This window comes from Homo sapiens, chromosome 15, assembly GCF_000001405.40.
Source record: "Homo sapiens chromosome 15, GRCh38.p14 Primary Assembly".
Classification (NCBI taxonomy): Eukaryota; Metazoa; Chordata; class Mammalia; order Primates; family Hominidae; genus Homo; species Homo sapiens.
The window spans coordinates 50,360,198-50,370,005 of record NC_000015.10 but is presented as its reverse complement, the minus strand read 5'-3'; the positions used below and the strand labels follow the sequence as shown (position 1 = coordinate 50,370,005).

Here is a 9,808-nt window from a genome sequence, read left to right as displayed (position 1 = left end):
GCAATTCTCTTGTGCCTCAGCCTCTTGAGTAGCTGGGATTACAGGCACACACCATCACGTCCAGCTAATCTTTTGTATCTCTAGTAGAGATAGGCTTTTGCCATGTTGCCCAGGCTGGTCTTGAACTCCTGGCCTCAAGTGATCCACCTGCCTTGGCCTCCCAAAGTGCTGGGCTTATAGGCATGAGCCACTATGCCCAGCCTCTGATTTCTTTTTTCTTTTTTTTGAGGCAGAGTCTTGCTCTGTTGCCCCGGCTGGAGTGCAGTGACACGATCTTGGCTCACTGCAACCTCCACCTCCCGGATTCAAGCAATTCTCCTAACTCAGCACCCAAGCAGCTAGGATTACAGGCATGCACCAGCACGCCCGACTAATTTTTGTATTTTTAGTAGAGACGGGGTTTTGCCATGTTGGCCAGGCTGGTTTCTAACTCCCGACATCTGGTGATCTGTCTGCCTGGGCCTCCCAAAGTGCTGGGATTACAGGCGTGAGCCACCTTGCCCGGCAAGCAGCCTCTGATTTCAACTCAAGAGACAGAAGAGGATCCCAAATTCCAAGCAACTCCCAAGATGCAAATCAAAATATGGAAATGTTAAACAAATTGAAGGATTTCCCAATAGTTACCTGCAACACCTAAAGGTCACTGTTTCCAAATGGTGCAAGAACTATGCAAACAATATGTTGGTTGCTGTTAAATTCAAGGACAGGACACTATTAACAGTTATAACATTTTTGTATGGACCTTTATGAATCTGTGGGAAACTAGAGACGCGCTGTCTTAGCTTAGGATGCCATAAAACTACCATGGGCTTAAATAATAGAAATTTATTTCTCACAGTTCTGGAGCATGGGAAGTCCAAGATCAAGGTGCCAGCCAATTTGGTTCCTGGTGGGGGCTCCCTTTCTGGTTTGGAAGTGGCCGTCTCACTGTATTCTTATATGGCTTTTCCTCTGCTCTTGAGGAGGAAGATTTCTCTCTTCTTCTTATAACGCCACTAATCCCATAATGAGGGCCCTACCGTCATGACCTATCTAACCCATATTACCTCCAAAGGCCCCATCTCCAGATACTATCACATTGGACTCCAAATATTTATTTATTATGGGACTCCAAATATTTATTTATTTTTTTGAGATGCAATCTCGCATTGTTGCCCAGGCTGGAGTGTACTGACGCGATCTCAGCTCACAACCTCTGCCTCCCGGGTTCAAAGCAATTCTCCTGCCTCAGCCTCCCCAGTAGCTGGGACTACAGGCGTGTGCCACCATGCCTGGCTAATTTTTGTATTTTTAGTAGAGACAGGGTTTCACTATGTTGGCCAGGCTGGTCTTGAACTCCTGACTTTGTGATCCACCGCCTTGGCCTCCCAAAGTGCTGGGATTACAGGTGTGAGCCACCGTGCCCAGCCCTCCAAATTTTTTTTTTTTGGAGACAGTTTCCCTCTTGTTGCCCAGGTGAAGTACAATGGCATGATCTCGGCTCAGTGCAACCTCCACCCCCTGGGTTCAAGAGATTCTCTTGCCTCAGCCTCCCGAGTAGCAGGGATTACAGGTGCTCACCAACACGTCCCGGTAATTTTTGCATTTTTAGTAGAGACGGGGTTTTGCCACGTTGGCCAGGCTGGTCTCAAAACTCCTGACCTCAGGTGATTCACCCACCTCGGCCTCCTAGTGCTGGGATTACAGGCGTGAGCCATCGCAATTGGCAATTTTTTTTTTTTTTCTTGAGACAAGGTCTTGCTCTGTCACCCAGGCTGGCAATATCATGGCTCACTGCAGTCTCAAACTTCTGGGCTCAGGCAAGCCTCCTGAGTAGCTGGGACTACAGGTGTATGCCACCACACCTGGCTAATTAAAAATTTTTTTTTTTTTTGTAGAGACGGGGTCTCACTATGTTGTCCAGGCTGGTTCTGAACTCCCGGACTCAAGCAATCCTCCCACCTAGGCCTCCCAAAGTGTTAGGTTTACAGGTGTGAGTTACCATGTCTGGCTTCCAAAATATGAAGTTTGGGAGGACATAAACATTTAGTCTATAACATATATTAAGTTGGTACACTACAAAGTAAGCAAAAGTATATACATCCAAATAGCTGGGAAAAGGTGAGAGCATTAAGGACAAGCAAACATGTGACTGTTTCTAGCCATTTGCCAGATTTACCTATGAGCTTAACAATGAAGCTAGAACTGAACCAAGCTACTGTTTTCTGACTAAAGAGATGTCTTCGTAAGCAGTAATGTGGGGTAACCCATAATGAGGAAAACTTAGTCATAAAGGAGAAAAGCAAGAGAAACAGAGAATTAGCAGGATTTTTTTTTTTTAAAAAGAATGAATTCATGAAACATGAAAAATGAATGAATTCGTGAAAACGGCAAAACATATTTTTACCATTTCCGATATGTACAGTGACAAGTTCTTTTGATACCATGCCCTAGACTGTGTATTACCCATCTATTCAGCAGTTATCTCAACAGGTATCATGACATTTTCAAAACCAAAAACTGAGTTTTTTTTTTTTTTTTTTTTTTTTTTAGATGGAGTCTCGCTCTGTTGTCCAGGCTGGAGTGCGATGGCACTATCTTGGCTCACTGCAAACTCCGCCTCCCGGGTTCAAGCAATTCTCCTGCCTCAGCCTCCTGAGTAGCTGGGATTACAGGCGCCTGCCACCATGCTCTGCTAATTTTTGTATTTTTAGTAGAGACAGGGTTTCACCATGTTGGCAAGGCTGGTCTTGAACTCCTGACCTCAGGTGATCTGCCTGCCTTTGGCTTCCCAAAGTGCTGGGATCCAAAATAGTTTTAATTAACTTTGACTGAGGAATAGATATCACCTAGTTGGTTTTTTTTTTTTTTTTGGAAGGAAAAAAGTGATACCAAAATATCTTAACACTTATAAGGAGTCAAAAGTCCAAAACCATTTAGAAATTAATTGATTTTTTAAAAGCCTTAAGTGGCTGAGTGCGGTGGCTCATGCCTTTAATCCCAGCCCTTTGGGAGACTGAGGTGGGCAGATCACCGGAGGTCAGGTGTTCCAGACCAGCCTGTCTAACATGGCAAAACCCTGTCTCTACTAAAAAATACAAAAATTAGCCCGGTGTGGTAGAGCACAACTGTAGTCCCAGCTACTCAGGAGGTGCACGCCAACATGTCCGGTGGAAGGATGGCTTGAGCCTAGGAATTTGATGCTGCAGCAAGCTGTGATACTGTGCCACTGTACTCCAGCTGGGGTACAGAGAGACACTACCTCTAAATAAATAACCTTAAGTGTTTTTTCCAAAGATATTGCTTATGACTTTCAAAAGAGATATACAGAGTGGTGGCTGCAGTGGCTCAAGCCTATAATCCTAGCACCTTAGAAGGCTGAGGCAGGTGATCACTTGAAGTCCAGAGTTTGAGGCCAGCCTGGCCAACATGGTAAAACCCCATCTCTACTAAAAATACAAAAATTAGCCAGGTGTGGTGGTAGGCGCCTGTAATCCCAGCTACTTGGGAGGCTGAGGCTGGAGAATCTCTTGAACCCAGGAGGCGGAGGCTGCACTGAGCAGAGATCGTACCACTGTACTCCAGCCTGGGTAACGTAGTGAGACTCTGACTCAAAAAAGGGGTATAGTCACTTAAATTTGTGTAGATCAGGCACTATTAGCACAGTTTTCCAGATAGTACTGATTACTTAAACATGTCAAAATAATTATTACTAGTAGTTGAGTCCTTACTTTTCTAAGCACTTTATATTTATTTAGTCCTCTCAAATACAAGGTAGATTCTATCATATTCCCCATTTTATAGGGGGGAACTGAAGTATAGAGATTATGCAACTTCCAAGCAGCTGGGCCTCAAAGATTAAGATGCTCTAGAAATCATGATTTGTAAAATGAATAAGAAGTTTGGCAAGTCAGAGACCCACAGGCCATATCTCTTTTCCTCCTCCTGCTACTTTTACTCCAAGTAACTCAGATAATTATTCCTGAAAATCTTTCTTCACACCCTGATAAAAATCCCCAGTTTAGATGGAATTCATAGCCCAATATCCCTTTCTCCCTCCCTGTACCACCTCAGCACTGAAGCAAGATTAATTAAACATCTTTTTTTTTTCTTGAGTCTTACTCTGTAGCCCAGGCTGGTGCAGTGGTGTGATCCTGGCTCACTGCAGCCTCAACCTCCTGGCCTCAAGCAATCTTCCCACCTCAGGATGAGTAGCCGTCACTACAGGCAGCACCACCATGCCCGACTAATTTTTGTATTTTTTTGTAGAGATGGGATTTTGCTCTATTGCCCAGGTTGGTCAAAAATCATTTTCAGTTCCTGTATCAGGGAACTTTTTAAAAAAATTAGTGATTTTTTCCTCCTTACCATGTTAATTTTCTGCAACTCAAACAAAGGCTGAAGTATCCTTTTAGATTCTACTAAGCTTGCACATTTGCCCAAAAAAAGTGTGGGTGGAGCTGTTTATAGTCATTCCAGGTTCCTCTCCAGGTTTGCTGGTCATTTGACAACCTAAGCAACCATGTTTTTACTAGTTGTAGGTGTGTAGCTGCAGGAGCAGCAGCAGAAAAATTCTATATCCTGAACAAATTCTGTCAACTGAACCCCATTTCTCTCAATTTAACCAAATGATATTGTTACTGTTCCTGAAAATATTAATTAAGACTTGAAATAATCTGCCCTTCAAAAGCTGGTAGGTAAAAATCCAAAAACTTGGCAGCACTCTAATCCATCAGCAATGCTGGGGTGAAAACATTTAGTACATAGAGGGCAAATTAAAAATACATATATGCCTTTTTGCAGAGCAATTCCACCTGTGGAAACTGAGATGAGACATATTTAAATATACAAGGAAAGATGTACATCCAAGGATAATCATTCAAGCACTAGAGTACAAAAGAAACTCAATGTCCCTAAACTGGGTGATAACCAAATAATGTGCAGTGGTTAAGAAAAAATGTCGCCTTTTTGCACTGAGATGGAAAAGCCATCTCAAGTCCAATGTGCAGAAGGGTTTGTACGGTATTTTCTCCTACATAAAAATGGGGGAGGGGGAATAAGAACATTTATTCTCACATATGTATGTATGAAAAAATGTGTATGTGGAAAAATATACAAGAGGCTGGGCACTGTGATTCATGCCTGTAACTCCACTTTGGGAGGCCGAGGCAAGCGATCACCTGAGGTCAGGAGTTCAAGACCAGCCTGGCCAACATGGTGAAACCCCGTCTCTACTAAAAATATAAAAATTAGCCGGGCGTGGTAGCACGCGCCTGTAGTCCCAGCTACATGGGAGGCTGAGGCAGGAGAATTGCTTGAACTCGGGAGACGGAGGTTGCAGTGACCCAATATCACGCCACTGCACCCCAGCCTGGGCGACAGATCGAGACTATGTCTCAAAAAAAAAAAAAAAAAAAAAAAAGAAAGAAAGAATATGCAAGAAACAAAAAGTAGAGGTTACTTCAGTAGTGATAACTGGATGGGTGGAAGTGATGATTAAAAAATTTTTTTTGAACCAGTGAATGCCTTATCTATTCAAATAATTTTTAAAAATTGGCTAGAAGCTCTAATCAACCAACCAACAACTATTAAATGCCTGCTTGTCTTAAAATAGAGTCTACAGGCTAGGTAGCCCAAATGCAACCTTAACTCTGAGATACAAAATATAAGGTTGAATGAGTGGCTGTGCCTAAACAATTTCTGGAAATCAAAGTTCTTGGTGCCTCTGGGGAATTCTGATATCAGTGACTTGGCCAAAGAATTTCACTTGCTTACTGGTGGTCTTCTCTAGAACTCACGAGCAGGGAGACAAATGGAGATAGGGTGAGATGCTCACCCAACAAAGTGAAAAATTTTCAGCAGTGTGTCTGCCAAAAATCCACACATTATTCATCTGCAAACCTAAAAACAGGTAGGAAGGAACCAGTAATTGTTTTATGGTACAGAATTTTTAAAAAATTTTCTTTAATGTTATAATGCTATTTGTATGGTAAATGAGTTTAATAAATCTGATAAGAAAAAGTCTTCCTCATTGATTACAGTAGTTTATACATTTTAAGGAGATACTGATGCTTTTCAAAAGGCATGTGTTCATCACCAGGATAAGTTATCTTTCATTCCAAGTATTAATGACCTTTGATTGGCAAAACCATATTGATCTTTTCTCTTAGAATTTCAGGTGACTAAAACTGCACTGTAAACACAGTGAACAAAATTAAATAACACTGCAGTGTTTCCCAATGTGCAGGATCCATACCACTGGTGATAATCAACATAGGCAGTACATGAACAAAGCAGTAAATAACATTGAATCACACAGCAAGAAAGTTATTCCTGTTTACAGGCCAGGCGTGGTGGCTAATGTCTGTAATCCCAACACTTTGGGAGGTCAAGGTGGGTGTCTCGCTTGAGCTCAGGAGTTCAAGACTAGCCTGGGCAACATGGCAAAACCCCATCTCTACCAGAAATACACAGAATTAGCCAGGCATGGTGGCTGCGCTTGTAGTTCTAGCTGCTAAGGAGGCTGAGGTGGGAGAATCACCTGAGCATGGGAAATCCAGGCTGCAGTGAGCTGAGATCTTGCCACTGCACGCCAGCTTGGGCAACAGAGTAAGACCGTGTCTCAGAGAAAAAAAAAGCTATTCTTCATTCAAGCCTTGAGATTCGAAGTGCTTGGTTGGCAAGAGTATCTAGATAGAATTTAATAACTGGTTTGTTTTCATTATACTAATTTTTACATTTACTATCTTGACTTTTTCCCCCCTTATTGACAGGCGTTTACATTTGTCTGGATTACCCACATTCACAGACGCGTTAAGACAGGAGTGCAGGTGCTGCTATGTTATGGGAACCCCTTAGTCAAAAAACACAAAAATCCAATGGTCTTTTCCCAGGGCTTATCTTTACTTGAGCTAAATTCTCCCCATGGTCTTCTGTAACACACACTTAGCCTCTCCAGGAATGGTGTAGTACACAGAATAAACTGGAGTCAAGCTGGTTTTGAATGCTGGTTCTTTTTACTGCTTTTTGAGTCTACAAAGCCAGTCTATCAAGTGAGGCTAAAATTGGCTACCTTGGAAATGGAAAGGAATAAATGAGATAGTAAATGTAGAGCAGCTGCCATACAGTTTAACAGATGCTCAATAAATGCTGATTTGCTTTCCTCCTTCGCTTCTCCTTCTCTGTCCTTCAGTACTTTTCTCAATATTCTCTCTCACTGGTTTCCTTCACTCTCATGGCTTTATTACCCTTCTATGGATGGGTAACTTCTAATTTTCTATCACCAATTCTGACCTTTTTTCAGAGTACCAAACCTTAGCTTTTGTGTGTTTAATAATTCTACCTTGATATTCTGGCATCATCTTAAACTCAATCCATACAAAATTTCTCTTTCTACAAAAAACTTGAAGGCAGTGGGGGTAAGGTGAGAGAGTCACAGGAGTTGGAGTGAGGAGCCACAAGTTCTTTTTTTTTGTCCACATCATGGGATTTTTTTTTATAAGTTCACTGGTTTTTAGTCTATGTTCTATCTACTCTAATCACCTGAACATGTTTCCTAGCTTAATTTCATGTTTTTCGTCTGTGATGGAGTGATAAAATGAACATTTTCTGTTTATAACTTTTTGCAAGCTTAAAAAATGCCATATAAAATTGCTATTGACATCTGATTCAACATGGTGGGATGAGGGAAGGAGTTAAGGATGAGATTTTGAGCCTGAGTTCTGCAGTGTCTTTTGCACCTGTCTCGCCTTTCCTTCACCATTGTCATTCCCCAGAATTCAGGCCTACCTTATCTTTCACATTTGTGATGCATTTACAGAAAAATTGGCTCAGTCAGGGAAGTAATAGTTGGTAGTGTGTATCCAGCATTGCTCACGAGTTTTAAAAATAACCATGAAATATATAATATACATACTGAAAGTACATTTTTCTCCAAAAAACCTACTTCTCATTAAGTCATAGAGTGCTAACACTCATGTAATCCCAGTGTCTTAGAATGTTCGGCTTATTTGGCTCACGGTTTTGCAGGCTGTACAAGAAGCATGGTAGCAGTATCTGCTTCCAGTGAGGGCTTCAGGCTGCTCACGGTGGAAGGCAGACAGGAGATGACATATGCAGAGATCACATGGCGAGAGAAAGGAGAGAGGAGGTGCCAGTCTCTTAATGAACTCACTCCTTACAGAATACGAAGCCACTCATGAGAAATCCACTCCCACAACCCTTCCCACCAGGCCTCACCTCCAACACTGGGGATGAAATTTTAACATGAGACTTGGTAGGGTCAGACAAACCAAACTCAAGCCATAGCACCCTACTTAGGAACAGAACATCAACAGCACTCCAGAAGCACCTATTACCTCCCAAGCACTACTCCCTGCAAAGCTAACTATTTCTTTTCTTTATACTTTTACTACCTAAACATATATCCCTAAATCTAGATTGGTTTGCCTGTTTGTTGAACTTCCCATTTTCCAAAGTGGTTATACCAATATACATTTCCAGCAGCTGTGTAGTTTCAGTTACTCCAACTCTTGACCAACATCTGGCATTTTCTGGGTTTTCCATTTTAGCCATTCTGTTGGATGTGAGATTAAAATATCATTTAGGTTTTAATTTGCATTTCTCTAATGATTAAATTAGTTGAGTATCTTTTACATGTTTATCGGCCATCTACACGCCCCTTTTATATTTTTTAAGAAACTAATATTTAGATACCCTTTTTTGTGAGGTGACTGTTTAAGTTTCTACCTTTTTTTTTTTTTTTTTTTTTGAGATGGAGTCTTGCTTTGTCGCCCAGGCTGGAGTGCAGTGGCACGATCTTGGCTCACTGCAACTTCTGCCTCCTGGGTTCAAGCAATTCTCCTGTCTCAGCCTCCCGAGTAGTTGTGATTACAGGTACGTGCCACTACGTCTGGCTAATTTTTATATTTTTAGTAGAGACAGGGTTTTGTCATGTTGGCCAGGCTGGTCTTGAACTTCTGACCTCAAGTGATCTGCCTGCCTGGGCCTCCTAAAGTGCTTGGATTACAGGTGTTAGCCACTGCCTGGCCTCTACCCATTTTTTTATTGGATGTCTTCTTTTTTATTGATTTGTGGGAGTCTACAAATTCAAGATAGCAGCAAAGAGATGTATTTCTATTGTAGACATGAATGCATTTGGCTGGGTGTGGTGGATTACATCTGTAATCCCAGCACTTTGGGAGGCTGAGGTGGGAGGATCACTTGAGCTCAGGAGTTTGAGAATAGCCTGGGCAACGTGGCAAAACACAGTCTCTACAAAACATACAAAAATGAGCTGGGCGTGGTGGTGTGCACCTGTAGTCCCAGCTACTCAGGAGGCTGAGGTGGGAGGATCGCTTGAGCCCAGGTTGAGGCTGCAGTGAGCTGAGATCACATCACGGCCTTCCAGCCTGCATGGGCGACAAGGTGAGACCTTATTCCCTCCACCTCCCCAAAAGATGAAATGAATTCATTTGTTTGATGCTATTAGAATACCAGTAACTCCCCTTACTTTGGCCCCAAATTCACAAATGAACCCTCCAAAAGGTAATGCAGTTAACTTCATGCATTCTCTTTAAACAATGTACTGAGTCTTTATGCCAGGGAATTTGGAATTAACAGATACAGTACAGGTCTCTCATTTCAAAGTAGTATTCCTAATCATGAAGGAAATGAGAGACCTGTACTGGAATCCTGTCTTTAACACCTTTGAGGATGGTGAATTTAGGTAAGTTATTCAACCTATTTTAGCCTCGGTTTCTTCATTGGAAAAATGGGGCAAACAATACTTATTTTACAGAGTTGTGAGGATTAAATGAGACAATATATA

The 9,808-nt window shown here is 42.0% G+C and overlaps 1 non-coding gene across 1 annotated transcript; it reads right to left on the bottom strand.

Annotated features, from left to right (window-relative positions):
* Window positions 1-9,595: 9,595 nt before the first annotated feature.
* On the bottom strand, window positions 9,596-9,677 carry MIR4712 (microRNA 4712). The gene has a single exon (NR_039862.1). It is a non-coding gene; the product is annotated as a microRNA 4712 (primary transcript).